Below are 16,497 nucleotides of genomic sequence, written 5' to 3'. Positions count from 1 at the left end.
ACGCCCAGCTATTTTTTTTTTTTTTTGTATTTTTAGTAGAGACAGGGTTTCACCGTGTTAGCCAAGATGGTCTCGATCTCCTGACCTTGTGATCCGCCCGCCTCGGCCTCCCAAAGTGCTGGAATTACAGGCATGAGCCACCACACCCGGTGGCTATTTGTATTTTTTTGTGGAGATGTTTCACCATGTTGCGCAGGCTGATCTTGAACTCCTGGGCTCAAGAGATCCTTCCTACTCAGCCTTTCAAAGTGCTGGTATTACAGGTGTGAGCCACTGTGCCTGGCCCTTTAGTTTGATATTTTAATCTGTCTTTATATATTCACCAAGTTATTTTCAATGGTTGCTTAGCACTGATTGGTAAGAATATATTATTATATATTTTACTTTTCTCCTATTGATGGACATTTTGATTATTTTTAATACTTTGTCATTCTAAATTTGCAATAAACATTTTGGTGAAGGCTTCTTAGTGGTGCATACAAGTGTTTTTGATGAATAAATTACCACAGGTAGAATTACTGGGTCAAACAATATATGTTTTTAAAATTTTTGTAAGTATTACCAAATTTATGAACATACCAGTATGTTATCCAAAAGGGTCCAACTTGCTTCACCTGGAATCAAATTTTCCACAACACTTAATAACGATGAATGTTATGAACTATTTAATACAGTACAAATGAAAAAGTGTCCCATTAGACCACAAAATTGCATTTGTCAGGTAATTAATTGGTAAGGTTGGACATTATTGTCTTTATTGGGATAATTTTTATTTCCTTTGTGAAATGACTATTCATACTTTATTTGCCTCTTTTATTATGGCATTTTGGATAATTAATTTGTGAACACTCTTTACATATTACAAAATTAAGCCTTTGTCTAATTTTGGGGGGAACATTTTCTCCCAGATTTTTAAATTTAAAGACAAAATTAATTTTGTTTATAGTATCTTTTTTTGTTATACTGAAGTTTTGATAATTAGGTAGTTGAATCTGTTAATTTTAAAAGTTTATTGCTTGTTAAATTTGGCTTAAAAAGCTCTTTACAATTTTCTTTTTTAAAAGAGTAGTTTCAAAAATTGACAAGTGGAATCTAATTAAAATAAAGAGCTTCTACACAGCAAAAGAAACTATCAACAGAGTAAACATAAAATCTATAGAATAGGAGAAAAATATTTAAAAAGTATTTATCTGATAAAGGTCTAATATCCAGAATCTATAAGAACTTAAACAAATTAACAGGCAAAAAATAAACAACCCCTTTAAAAGTGGGCAAAGGACATGAACATAGACTTTTCAAAAGAAGACATACACATGGCCAATAAGCATATGAAAAAATGCTCAACATCACATTAGAGAAATGCAAATTAAAACCACCATGAGATACCATCTCATACCAATCAGAATGGCTACTATTAAAAAGTCAAAAAATAACAGATGCTGGCAAGGTTGAGGAGAAAGAACACTTATACACTGCTGATGGAAATGTAAATTAGTTCAGCCATTATTGAAAGCAGTTTGGGGATTTCTCAAAGAACTTAAAATTACCATTAAGCCCAGCAATCCCATTACTGGATATATAACTAAACAAAGATAAATAATTCTACCATAAAGACACATGCGCAGGTATGTTCACTGCAGCACTATTCACAATACCAAAGACACGGAATAAACCTAAAAGCTCATCAATGATAGAATGGATAAAGAAAATGTGGTACATATGCAACATGGAATACTATGCAGCCATAAAAAAGAATGAGATTACATACTTCGCAGCAACATGGATGGAATTGAAAGCTATTGTCCTAAGAAACTAATGCAAAAACAAGAAACTAAGTATCATGTATTCTTACTTATAAGTGGGAGCTAAACACTGAGTACACATGTACACAAAGAAGGGAACAAAAGCCAGCCACTGGGGCCTACTTGAGGGTGGAAGATAGGAGGAGGGTGAGGATTGAAAAACTACCTATTGGATACTCTGCTTATTACTTAGGTAAAGAAATAATCTGTCCATCAAACCCCTGAGACATGCAATTTACCTATCTAACAAACCTGCACGTGTACCCCTGGACCTCCAATAAATGTTTAAAAAAACAGTAGTTTTTAACAAAAGAAATTATTAATCCTCAGACAAATAATAACCTGAAACCATTCTTAATAATAGTTTTCCATGAATTATTTTGGTTGATAAGCCTTGACACTTAGATTGAAATTTTCTGCTCAATTATTTAATATTATTACAGATGGCTCATTTCCATTTTAATCATCACTTTATATTTCTCATTCACTGCCTGGCCATGCTATAATCTCCACAGGGAAGTTAAAGAATACAGAAATGATATTGCCTCTACCTCCATTGAAAGTATTTAGGTGAAATAAGTATGTTTATAATAGTAAATAACATGAATTAAAGTGTAGTTTGAATTTACAAACCTGTGTATATAAAGACCAACTCAATCTCTTAGTCTGACGCAGAGGCAGAGAATCCTTTGCCTTAAAATGCACTGAAGTCTAACAACTCATTGCATGTAATTGATAATTTGCAATATGTCCTGGATCTACAGAATAGCAAAACTATGGTATAAATAGTTTTCTGCTTTGTTGAGTGAGTGCTTTGAAGACCTAAGAACTTTAGGGAAGCAAAGAATGACATCTTGTTGGAGGCGGGGCCTGAAGGGAGGTGTTTTGGTTATGGGGGCAGATCTCTCATGAACTGTTTGGTGCCTTCCTGGCAGTAATGTGTGACTTCTTGCTCTAGAGCTGGTTGTTTAAAACAGCCCAGCACCCTTTCTTCTTGCTTGCTCCCTGTTTTGCCATGTGACACACTGGCTCTCCTTGCCTTCCTCCATGAATAAAAGCTTCCTGAGACCTCACCAGAAGCTGAGCAGATACTGGTGCCATGGTTCTTGTACAGCCTGCCGTACCATAAATTTCTTTTCTTCATCAATTACCCTATCTCAGGTAGTCCTTTACAGCAATGTAAAACAGACTAATGAAACATACAGAGGCTGTGGACGAGTTTTAACCTGCGCCGACATGAGAGAGGCTTAAGCACTATTGGGGGTAGAAGAGGAGGGAGGCATATCAACCCTGAAGACAGCACAAAGAGGGAGGAAAAACAGGAATTGAGGTCAACCTTCACTCGCTGAAAAGCTTAAATATTGTGTGCATGTGTTTTTAATTCCCTAGAGCACTTGGTGGAGAACCTGACAGTAAAATTACAAAAGAGAAGCATGAATTAATGACATAGAAAAGAAAGCAGCTATAATGAAAATAAACGAAGGCAGGATCTAGCTCTAAAATGCTTTTAGGAGAGTTAACAAGATCCTTTGAAAATGAGCTGGGTAGTAATGGATCATGGTTCAAGCAGTGGCCAAGTAGCATTTTTAATGAAAGGAAACTGAATGCATTTGATTATTCACTGTTGCATGGGGCTCTGAGGGTGCAGGTGGAGGTTCAGAAGACTTCAATTCTAGCCCTGTTCCCTCCTACCTATGTATCCTTGACCCAACGACTTCATCTTGCCGAGCTGTAGTTTCCTCACATAAACATTAGAAATAATATTAATCCCTGTTAGATAATTGTAAAGACTGAGCTTACATTTATTAAGTGCCGACACAGTGACTTACACATAGACAATACCAGATTTTAAAATGCTAACAGTTATTGTTATTATAATGATTAAGTACTTCTGTAATCAATATCACATTTCAATTTGCCATTGCCACAATGTAATTAAGGTAGAGAAGGAATTATTCTTATCCCTAAATGAACAAGATAAGATAAACTGACTTGCCTCATAAGACGACAAAGACATTGAGCTTTTGACATTAGGCCTCATGGATCTTTTGGTTATGCAATTTGGAAGAACAGTCAACATAGTAAGAGATAATAAGAAATAAACACAAGATTTAACAATTATGTAGCTCCTCCTGGGTAGAAAGAGTATGCTATTTATATGTTTTCTATACATGATTTCTTTACATCATCATTACCATCCCATGTACTAGAATTCCTATTTTACAGATAAAGGAGGTGAGACCCCTATAGCTTAAATTACTCATGTAAGATTACATCAGCCAGCAAATGGTAAAAATAGGAGTCTCTTGTTATTCTGTCTGAACCTAGAATGCAAGCTCTTTTCATGAGGTCAGGCTGAAATGAGTCATCTGTTGATGGTGCTGGAATAGGTTGTAGAACAGTAAGACAGAATGCAAGATAGAGACATTATTTGGAATAAGTTAACCAGGACGAATGTCACTAACACATTTTTCAAAAATAAAAAATTATACATCTTTTTGGAAAGTTTAGCCAAAAGAAGAGAGAGGAAGAGTTATTTTTTGCATGGTGGAAGAATGGGGGTGGAAGTATAATGAGAGAAGCCAATATTTCAGAAACTGAATGTCATTTAAAAAAAGAAAAGGAGGCGTACAAAATTGTTGACTATGGAGGAGAGCAAAATTCAGGAGGATGAGAGTCAGAAAAAAATTTAGAACTGGCAGGGTCAGACTTCTGGGAGGAGACTAGAAGCCATTCTAGAATGGAATATAAGCAAGTAAGAACACAATTTATATTAAAGAGAGAGAAAATGCAAAAAAATGAAACAAAAAAACAAAAATAAAAATTAAAGATAATCACTAATCTATGTAAGCATGGATTTAGAGAAAAGCAGCCTTGGTCAGGCACAGTGGCTCACGCCTGTAATCCCAGCACTTTGGGAGGCCGAGGTGGGCTGATCACAAGGTCAGAGGATCGAGACCATCCTGGCTAACTTGGTGAAACCCTGTCTCTACTAAAAATAGAAAAATTAGCCGGTCGTGGTGGCAGGCGCCTTTAGTTCCAGCTACTCAGGAGACTGAGGCAGGAGAATGGTGTGAACCCGGGAGGCGGAGCTTGCAGTGAGCTGAGATTGTGCCACTGCACTCCAGCCTGGGCGACAGAGCCAAACTCTGTCTCAAAAAAAAAAAAAAAAGAAAAAAGAAAAAAAGAAAAGCAGCCTTATGAACTAAAATGTTTAATAAGCAGACATTTGTGATCCCACAAAATGTGTAATTATATAATTTCTTGACAATAAAATAGGAAATAAGTTTTCTTTAGCAATTTAACTAACTTACATAAAATGTGCTTACCTTTCCATCCTAGTTCTACTCCTCTTTTCAATGGGTACTACCTTTCCACATCTGTTTCACTGTTGGATACTGACACAGTATTTCTCAAGCAGAAGATTGCATTAAAAACAAGTTTCTAGTTATTTCCCCCTCTTCCTCATGAAAAGCCCTTGGCATTTTCCATCATTTCCTCTGTGATTTTTTTCTCATAAGTTATTTCAACTATAGCTGGAGAATAAAATGTCCCCACGCTCCTAGGAAATGATTGATATTTTTCTGTAGCTATGGTAGCAAGTAGTCACCAGAAGTGGTTTTAAAACTGCTTAATCAATGACAGTTCCAGAAACTATCAGAACTGATTTTACACAAAGTTGAAGAATTAATGGCTCTGCCTCTCAGTGAACATGCATTTGCAAGTCAACCAAATAGTTATAACCCTAACTTCCTAAAGTCAGTTAATCAGAAAAAGACTCACTTCAAAGAACACACTTCTGGAAGTTGATTAATCAAAGGAATTCTCACCTGAAGAACCATAGTTCTACAAATGACGTCAATACACTTACGCCTCTGGAAGTCAACCAGTAACTGAATTACACTCTTCCTCAAAGCCCTCTATAATATTAGCAGTCTTCCCTGCTCTGAGAGACTGTGCCTGACAATTATATTTTGCCCTTTTTAAAATAAGTGATCACTTCAGCATTGGGTTTTTTTGTTTAAGATATTGACAGCCAGTTTTTATTATTTTGCCAGCTGAACACTCTGGAAGTTAGTAATTCGTTCAACAGCCTCAGAAAGAATATATAGTCATATCCTTTGGTCAATAATTAGATTCTAGAAATTGGTCCAAATTGACACTATGCATAATCTTTGTTATGCATTTTTTTGCATTTAATCCTCACAATAGCTCTACAATATAAGCTTTTTTTTTTTTTTTTTTTTTTTTTTTTTTTTTTTTTTGAGACTGAGTCTCGCGGCTGTCTCCTAGGCTGGAGCGGATTGGCGCGATCTCGGCTCACTGCAAGCTCCCCCTTCTGGGTTCACGCCATTCTTCTGCCTCAGCCTCCCGAGTGGCTGGGACTACAGGCGCCCGCCACCATGCCCAGCTAGCCACGCCCAGCTATTTTTTTGTATTTTTAGTAGAGACGGGGTTTCACCGTGTTAGGCAGGATGGTCTCGATCTCCTGACCTCGTGATCCACCGGCCTCGGCCTCCCAAAGTGCTGGAATTACAGGCGTGAGCCACCGTACCCGGCCATAAGCTTGTTTTTATTTCCATTTTTTATTTGATGAAAGCAAAATATTTGACAAATATTTAAATTGAAGTGTTATTTATATATATATGAAAACTCAAGTACAATCCAATACCCAAGATAAGAAAAGGGTTAGGCAAATAGTCATTATAAGGGCACCTACAAAAAATGAACATGTTAAAATGTTTATGATTTGACACTGATTACAAAATCAAAACAAAATTATAACTATACCATGTAAAATTATGTGTACATACGGATTAGAAATAAAAGGAAACATAGGCAAATAATTCTGTGAATTTCTGTGGTGGTTGGATTCTGACTGGATTGACCTTTTAAATATTGCTTTAATGTTTGTGTAATAAGAAAAGTAACCTAAAGTGTAGTTTCTGCATTTGAGAGTTCCAGCCACCCATCCAATATTGTATTGGAAATTCCAATGCCCCATAAGATTTCTGAGAATTAAAGGGGTTCTAGACACTCCTGATTACTTAGGGTCCTGGACTTCTGCACTAGAGATTTCCAAATTCTATTCATGTGTTAACTACCATAAATGTTCCTTTTTCTCTGATTGCTTTGACCTGGATGTGAAACTGAGTCTCTTTAATTTCCCCTAAAATTTCATATAAGGCTCATGCAATGTTAGCAGAAGTTTTAGATGGAGAGCTGTTATATCATAGCAAAGTGCACAAGCTAATATTGAACACAGACCATCACTTTACTAAAATTCTCTTGGCTACCCAGCGCATCTCATCTTCTCCTGCTTGAAGACTTACTGATAAGTTTCTCTCACTTTATCATATAAAGCAGCTTTCCATCTTCAGTGTAAGCTCTAAATATAATGAAGATTTGATCTTGTGCTCTCATAAAATCAAGAGGCATATACTAGGTTTTACCCTTTAGCAACATAGAGATTTATTTTAAGGCAGATTATATTTCAAACACAAAAGTGGATGAATCATTATATTCATTTGGGGGATTTAAATGACATGAATTTAAGGTCACAAATTTTAAATTAGCATCCTACTGTGTTTAGAGTACAAAAGTGACATGAATTAAAAAGGAATGGTGGAACATACAAAGTAAAAGAGAAGATTAATTTTTTAATATGAAGAGATACAATATAGTTTAAAATAAACTGAAATTAAAAATCAAAAACCTATAGAGCGATAATTGACTTTATAAGGATAGCAAGAAAGCCCACGGGGTTAATATGCATGGTTTTAAATAAAAGTTTAGGGTATTTTTATCTGCCTCTACTTATTCTAACTACTTGATAACATAAATATTCACTCCACAGTGTTTTTCCTAGGGGGGCTAGTTCACTGTGAAGTGTTTTCTTGTCTCTTTGTAGAGTAGCTATAAGGAAATGATAGTCTCTAAAAATAAAACTTAAGAACAATTTGAAAATAATAAATTCAGATTTTCTTGACATCTTTGTTTACTAATTCTTTCCCCAGAGCATGTAATTTGAAGCATAGACTTAGAACTGCTTATATCTGCATGTTGAAAGTAAGGATATATCATTATAAGGGATAAGAAGAGAAAAGAATTTAAAGTAGTCACTATTATAGGTAGTCTTCCATAGACATTGATTTTGACCCTACTATCAAGGCAAAAGTAAATTAATGTTAATTTTTTAGTTACCAAAATAAAGCAGTAAGTTCTTCCAGGTGCAGAGGGTAAAAATACTGTATCCTCAATTTTCTCTGAAATTATTGGAGTTCCACAGGATTCTGTATTACCAACTATGTTCCTTAGGTCCTAGAAACAAGTAAGGATAAAATACTGTCCATGGTATGGAAGATATTGGACGGTATGTGTAAGAAAAATCCAACTATTTTTCCATCTATTTGTCCTACTCTATCCACCCGTGCATCCATCTATACTCCATCTACTTCTCCTTGTGGAGGAGAAAGATTTGAGACACCACCAAGACTCATTTTATGTTGCATATTGAATGGTCATCACAAACAGTGGAGCTCTGGAGCATCTCCCATAAGTGATTTCTTCCAGGCTACCCCAATTACTCCTAAAATTAACTGAAAAAAAAAATGTGCTTAATGTTATTTTGTTTAGAAGTCAAAACTGCAAATATTTTAAGTACCTGTTATTCACCAGGCAGAATAGTAGAAAGTCTTAGTACAGAAAAAAAAAAAAAAAAAAAAAAAAAAAAAGGTGGTCTTGCCCAGGCACGGTGGTTCACGCCTGTAATCCCATCACTTTGGGAGGCCGAGGCGGGCGGATCACGAGGTCAGGAGATCGAGACCATCCTAGCTAACATGGTGAAACCCCGTCTCTACTAAAATTAAAAAAAAAATTAAAAAAAAATTAGCTGGGCGTGGTGGCGGACGCCTGTAGTCCCAGCTACTGGGGGTGCTGAGGCAGGAGAATGGCGTGAACCCAGGAGGCGGAGTTTGCATTGGGCCGAGATCGCACCACTGCACTCCAGTCTGGGCAACACAGAGAGACTCCATCTCAAAAAAAAAAAAAAAAAAAGAAAGAAAAAAGAAAAAGTGGGTCTTATAAAAAGGAACTCTTCTGAATAGTCTTTTAAACAAAAACAAAACAAGCAAACAAAACAAATAAAATAGACTTCTACGATGGTAGAAGGACTTTAAATCAGAAAAAAATAAAATAATGAGAATTCTGAACATTAAATATGGTAGAAAATTCAAATAGATTTGATAATATTCTTTTCAAAACATATTTATGTATTGTAACAGATAACAAATGAGGGTTAAATATATAATGGATCACACTGATTTTGCATTTGCCTCCTATACCTACTATACTATTATTTGAAGGTATAGAAATTGTTTCTCTATTGGGTGTATCTTCTTTTATTGTTAATAACCCCCTCATATTCAAGAAGTTCCTCAAATAGCCTAGTAAAGTATTTTCAAATTACCTAATAAAATAAGCTCCCTTAGAAGTCATCATTGTGATTGGAAAGCAATAGGGAGAAAGCTTGATTTATTGATTAGTAAGAGTATGCTATAAATTTTCTTCATATTAAAACTGTGTGGATTATGAGATCACACTTACTTATAAAAATTGCAGCAGATGGGCATAGTGATGAAGGTATTAAAGGAAAGGATGGCAGGTTAGCTTGGCTTTATAAAATGACTTTATTTCCTCTGAGATACTATGTATAAATCTAACAAAATTGCAGCAGGGAACATTGTTATTTAAGAAAATACATGATGAATGCTTTTGTGAGACATAATTATTTTGAAGTAAAAAACACTTTATATACAGTCATGTGTCACTTAAAGATGGAGATATGTTCTGAGAAATGTGATGTTAGGTGATTTCATTGTTGTGCAAACATCAGAGAGTGGACTTACACAAACCTAGATGGTATTGCCTGCTACACACTTAGGCTATTGTTTCTAGGCTACAAACTTATAGCATGTTACTATACTGAATGCTTTAGGAAATTTTAACACAATGGTATTTGTATATCTAAACATAGAAAAGGTACAGTAAAAATACTGTATACAAGATAAAAAATCGTACACCTGTATAAAGCACTTACCATGAATGGAGCTTGCAGGACTGGAAGTTGCACTGGGTGAGTCAGTGAGTGAGTGGTGAGTGGATGTGAAAGCCTAGGACATTACTGTACACTACGGTAGACTTTATAAACACTGTACAAATGCTATATTAAACCTATAAAAAGGTTTTTCTGTCTTCAGTAATTTAATATTAGCTTATTGTAACTTTTTTACTTTATAGACTTAAAAAATATTTTTTAAGTCTTTGAGTTTTTTCATAATAACACAGCTTAAAACACAAACACATTGTATAGCTGTACAAAATAATTTCTTTCTTTAATCCTTATTCTATAAGCTTTTTTCCTATTTTTAAATATTTTTGTTTTTTATTTTACCTTTTAAATTTGTAAAAACTAAGATACAAACCCACACCTTAGCCTAGGTCTACACAGGGTGAAGATCATCAATATCACTGTCTTCTACCTCCATATCTTGTCTCACTGGGAGGTCTTCAGGGGCAATAACGTGCATGGACCTGTCATCTCCTATGATAACAATCCCTTCTTCTGGAATACCTCCTGAAAGACCTGTCTGAGGCTGTTTAATAATTAAGTTTTTTAAATTAGTAGAAGTACACTCTAAATAATGATAAAATATAGTAAATACATAAACTATAACATAATTGTTTATTATCATTGTTATGCACCTTATGTAATTGTACAGTATGTACTACACTTTTATACAACTGGAAGTGCAATAAGTTTGTTTACACCAGCATCATCACAAACATGTGAGTTGTGTGCTACTAAGTTCTGATGGCTACAAAGTTATTAGGAGATAAGAATTGTTTAGCTCTATTATAATCTAATGGGACCACTGATGTACATGTGGTCAATCATTGCCTGCAATGTTATGCAGTGCATGACTATATTTTGTAGTTCTTTTTTTTTTGGTTCTTGCATAGGATTTCCTTAAAGTGAAAGCATATGTGTGTCCAATATAACAGAAATAAATTAGCAATAATGATTTCCCAGTCCAGTAGGACTTTTTTTTTTTTTTTTTTTGAGACAGACTCTTACTCTCTTGCCCAGGCTGGACTGCAGTGGTGCAATCTTGGCTCACTGCAACCTCCAACTCCCATGCTCAAGCGATTCTCCTGCCTCAGCCTTCCCAGTAGCTGGGACTACAGGTGTGCACCACCACACCAGCTGATTTTTGTATTTTCAGTAGAGATGGGTTTTCATTGTGTTGGCCAGGCTGGTCATGAACTCTTGACCTCAAGTGATTTGCTTGCCTGAGCCTCCCAATGTGATGGGATTACAGGAGTGAGCCACCATGCCTGGCCTCTAGATGGGACTTTGAAGCTCAACAGGAAACAGACATTTCAGGTAAAAATTTTGAATTTAAATGTGAATAATAGTTTTTTAATGATATAAAATTTGCCAGAATTTTATTTAAATTAAGAGAAAGAGCTTGATTATTTCTGGAAATTGAAAACAAATAATTTAACAAATAAGAATATTTCCATATCGTGTAGACTTCTTGATGTGGTACAAGTTAAGATTAAGAATGAAGTAAGATTGTTCTATGTAGATGCTCCATCCTTTACAAACTGCTGATCCTAGGCAAGTCACTTAAATTCTCAGAGACTTTTCTTGTGTTTAAATAAAGAATTCTATTTGAATTTCCTACATTCCATGCTCACTCTAAGATTGAAGCATTATGATGTATATACAGAAACCTCTAAACTGAGCATGAAACTAAAATTTGGGCATGAGGCATGCTAATTGCTAATGTGGTATCACTGCTTCTAGAGCTTTTCAGTAGATAGAGCTAATAAATGTTATGTGTGTAGACCCATTTCTGTATCTATGTATTTTAAAATAAAAATAGATTCACAAATTAATATCTACATCTCTCATCTAGCAACGCAAGGTTAATTTTAGCCATCTCTCCTTGCTGATTATAACTTCTTTCTCTAGCAATGTGAAACCTATCTCCCAATATCTATAATTTATTTACTTATGCATTCCACCCTAATATACATGCAAAGTACTTTCATAATTGCTAACCTGCACTCCTTTGAAAAAAATCAACTAAAATACAATGTCTATGTATAGTTCTTTTTAGAGTTAGCCTCATTCTTTGCAGATTTTGTCCTTTCAAAATACTGTTTTCCAAAATATAGGCTAGATCCTTTGACTGCATCACCTTCAGTAAGTTTATATATTACATTTGTAAGATGGTTAGGTTCACTTGTCACTGTTTCCACCCCATTTTGGGATAATACATCCTATTTGTTTTCTTTCTTTCTTTTTTTAATGTGCATGCTGCAGAATTTACTCATTGTGTTGTACAGTTCTATGGGTTTTGATGAGCACAGTAATTTTTTCAGCACCACGGACAGTTCCACCCCCCTTTAAAATTTCCTCATGTAATCAATGATTTTGTAGTCAGCCCTCTTATAACTCCAACTCAATATATCTCTAACTTGGGCAACCACTGATCTGCTTCCCATCTCTATGTTTTGGCTTTTTCAGAATTTAAGATACATTGAATTATATATCTTAAATATGCAGTCATTTGGGCTTCCCTTCTTTCACTTAGCAAGATGCACTAAAACGTTCATCCATGATATGCATAAATCAATACTTTCCTTTTAAAAATATTTGAATAGTATTCCCCTTTATAGATTTACCACAGTCTGTTCATTCATTTACCAGCTGAAGACAACATATTAGTTATTTCCACATTTTGGCAATTGAAATCAAATTTTCTGTAAATATTCCCATATTGTTTTTTTGTGTCAAAAATGTTTTTCAATTCACTTGGGTAAATACTTATGAATGGGATCACTGGATCATATATTAAGTAAGCATTTAACTTCATAGGAAACTTGTACATTCCAAAGTGACTGTACCATTTTGAATTGCCAACAGTAATGAAAGTAATGAATGACAGTCTCTGTGGCTCTGCATGCTTATGAATATTTGATATTGTTAGATTTTTAATTCATTTATTCATTTTTAACAGGTATGTTCTGGCATCTTACTGTGGCTTTCATTTGTATCTCCTTAGTGAACATCTTCTCATATTCTTATTAGTCATCCATACATCTTCTTTGGTAAAGCTCAGATATTTTACCAGGAAAATTAGATTTACTTTCTTATTACGTTTTAAGAGTTTTTTATATATTATGGATACAAATCTTTTATCAGATACATGATTTACAAGTCTGATGCCTATATTTTCATTCTTTTAAGAATGTGTTTGATGGAACAATTTTTTTAAATGTTAGATTTTTTTTCTATTGATTTACTCATTGTAATGAGGAGGGCTGTGATCAGCAAATTCCTTTAGTTACAACAAAGCAAGTACATGGAAGCAAACAAAAAGCCCCCAAATTCCAACATGTATATAGCTTAGAAGTACACATTTGGTATATTTTCTTCTCTATAATTTCTCATAAACATGGGGTTCTGTAAAAATCCATTTTAAGTAATAAGTTTAGGGTTTGACTTTTTCTGTCATTGAAATTTTAAAGTCATGTGCTCCTTTGATGTGGTCTGAAGTTGGCCTTCAAAATTCATTAGGTAGCAGAACCGAAGCATTATATCAGCGGTCACCTGGAGCAGAGTTTCCAGTATGGAAACTACCAGCCACATGAGACAGCTGAGCACTTGAAATACAGCTAGTGTCATTGATGAGATGATTATCAATTTAAATTTAAAAACTGACACTTGATTTAGTTATTGGAACACTTTTAAATGTTTGTAGGACAATTTGGGTTTGTGAATCTACTTTTCCAACTGTAAATTTTATGAAGTCTAAGTATAGATCAAGTATATTCAACAAAACTTTAGTATCTGAATTGAGATGTGCTATAAGTACACACTGGATTTCAAGGACTTAGTGAGAAAAAAAGAATGCAAATTGTCTCATTCTTTTCTTTACATTAGTCATATGTTAAAATAACTATATTTGGAATGTACAGGGCTAAATAAATAAAATATATCATTAAGACTCATTTCACCTGCTTATTTTTACTTTTTAAAAAATGTGGCCATGAGAAAAATTTAAATAACATATGCAGTTCACATTATAGTTTTATTAGATAGCACTGCTATAAAATATGTATTAAATCATATTTTGTGTCACAATGCATTCAGAGTTCTGAAACAGGGATGTTAATAACCTATCCACCACCACCTGCAATTCTCTGACAGCTTTATATTCTCAGACAGGAGCTTCAGCAAAACAAGTGCTGGAGAGAATAGAGAGTAAGGCTTGAGAAGCGATTCTAGGTCTGACGGTATTAGGTGTTGTTAGGGAACAGCATCTCCTGACACCCTAAACATGCCTTAAATTGTAGGGACACTACTGATTCATGATGGGCTCCAGTCCATAGCTTGCTTTCATCCAAGGAAAAGGGATTGGGCTGTTTTATTTCTTTCTCATTGACATGAGTAACACTTATTGCTTTGTAGTATTTCTTAACTCAAAAACAAAGCACAGTATCCCAGAATTCTACCTCCTTCCTTATTTTTTAATCATGTGAAATGAACAGTAAGAGGTTCATATCTGTACAAAGACTACTTTTCTTTTTTTATTTAACTTATTAAATAAATTACATATATGAATATATATAGTAAATATATTCTTATATTCATATGTAAGAATGATTTATTGGTACAGGCATTATCTACCCCAAATTAAAACCCATTTTCAAAAGATAACTAATATAAAAAGAAATTGACCAAAATTCAAAATTAGATTGCAAATTATATTGAGAACATAAAATTTTCCATGTCTAATTTTTTTTACTTTTTTCTAGGAAACAAAAGAATATAGAAATTTTAAGATTATTAACTGTAAGATTTATTTTAAAATATGATTAGACATGATGGATGTATTATCCTACCTACCATGACAGAAAATTATTTTTAACTTTAACTTTGATAGAATGTTAAAACTAAGTTTATAAAAGATCTCCTCATAGAAGCTAACCTTCTGAAATTATTCTGTAACTTGGATGAGTTTTAGTTCAAAATTTTCTGAAACAATATAAATCATCTATAAGTTCTAAGTGAACACATTTCTCCCACAATCAAGCTAGATTGAGAAAGTAAATATATACTTACAATATAGAGAACATATCATGGGAAGCACGTAGACAGTTGTTATACTACTTCACTGTATTATCAAATCCTTGAGTTATTACATTCTAAATCTGATGAGAAAGAGAAATAAAGTAGTATGTTAGTTAAATGCACTGGATGTACTCTATATGTAGCTAGATAACCAAAAGAAATCCAAAAGAAATAATGCATGCTAAAAACATAAATCTTTCTGTATTATTGTGTTCTTTGTTGATATCTATTTGTGATTTCTGTTAAATTTTTTTTTTTTTTTTTTGAGATGGAGTCTCGCTCTGTGGCCCAGGCTGGAGTGCAGTGGCATGATCTCGGCTTACTGCAAGCACCGCCTCCCTGGTTCACGACATTCTCCGGCCTCAGCCTCCTGAGTAGCTGGGACTACAGGCGCCCGCCACCACGCCCGGCTAATTTTTTTTGTATTTTTAGTAGAGGTGGGGTTTCACCGTGTTAGCCAGGATGGTCTTGATCTCCTGACGTGATCCGCCCGCCTCGGCCTCCCAAAGTGCTGGGATTACAGGCGTGAGCCACCGCACCCAGCCCGATTTCTGTTAAATTTTACAAAAATGTTATTGATGGTCGGGCGCAATGTCTCATGCCTGTACTCCCAGCACTTTGGGAGGCCGAGACGGGTGAATCACTTGAGGTCAGGAGTTCAAGACCAGCTTGGCCAACATGGTGAAACCCCGTCTCTACTAAAAATACAAAAATTAGCTGGGTGTGGTAGCAGGCACTTGTAATTCCAGCTACTGGGGAGGCTGAGGCAGGAGAATCGCTTGAACCTCGGAAATGGAAGTTGCAATGATCCGAGATCACACCACTGCACTCCAGCCTCAGTGACAGAGCAAGACTCTGTCTCAAAAAAAAGTTATTGAATAGTTAAATGGTTACAATATATAATAAGGGAAATATCATTAAAAAGAATGAATGTTCTAGGTTATAGTTGAAACTCTAAGAAAGTGAGTATAAGATATCTCGATAATCAAATATATTTAAAGTTTCCCATTTACAGAATAAATTGTGCCCATGTCACAAAAAAACAAACAAAAAAAGTTGCTAAATCATCTGGATGTATACAACTATCTGAATGCTTAGAAATATAAAGATCAAATAATTCGATGATTTGCCTAAACATCTGTCATTTTAATGGTGATGTGTGTCAGCCAACATACATGATTAATATAAACAGAGGTAAATGCTATTATTTGGATGTTTTGCCCAATCAAGAACAAATATCTTTAAACTATGGAATAACTTAAAGTATTATAAAGGGCAGATTCAGTTTTCTCTTTAAGATAATGCCACCAGAAGTATGTTACATAAGCTTATCCCGTCAAAAAAATGCATTTTTGCTATAGGACAGACCCAAGGGGCTTCTTACACTTAGAACTAACCGAAAATACTTGTTAAGCATCTTGTTCTCATTACATACACCCATGCACACACGCTTGCGCACACACACAAACAACGTTATGTTCTGATTTT

General features: G+C 34.7%; 1 protein-coding gene across 6 annotated transcripts in view; it reads right to left on the bottom strand.

Annotated features, from left to right (window-relative positions):
* The window catches only part of FUT9 (fucosyltransferase 9), a 199,639-nt gene that overhangs the window by 86,485 nt on the left and 96,657 nt on the right, over positions 1-16,497 (bottom strand). For 3 of the 6 annotated variants that reach the window (XM_047418089.1, XM_017010190.2, XM_011535385.3), the window contains 2 exons: positions 15,001-15,089; positions 8,007-8,123 (listed from right to left, as the gene is read on the bottom strand). The gene's annotated coding sequence lies outside the window, so the exon portion shown is untranslated. The remainder of the gene's footprint in view (positions 1-8,006; positions 8,124-15,000; positions 15,090-16,497) is intronic. The other 3 variants (XM_047418088.1, NM_006581.4, XM_017010188.2) reach the window with 1 other exon arrangement.

This window comes from Homo sapiens, chromosome 6 (assembly GCF_000001405.40).
Source record: "Homo sapiens chromosome 6, GRCh38.p14 Primary Assembly".
NCBI classification, from domain to species: Eukaryota; Metazoa; Chordata; class Mammalia; order Primates; family Hominidae; genus Homo; species Homo sapiens.
This window is presented reverse-complemented; position numbering and strand designations above follow the sequence as displayed.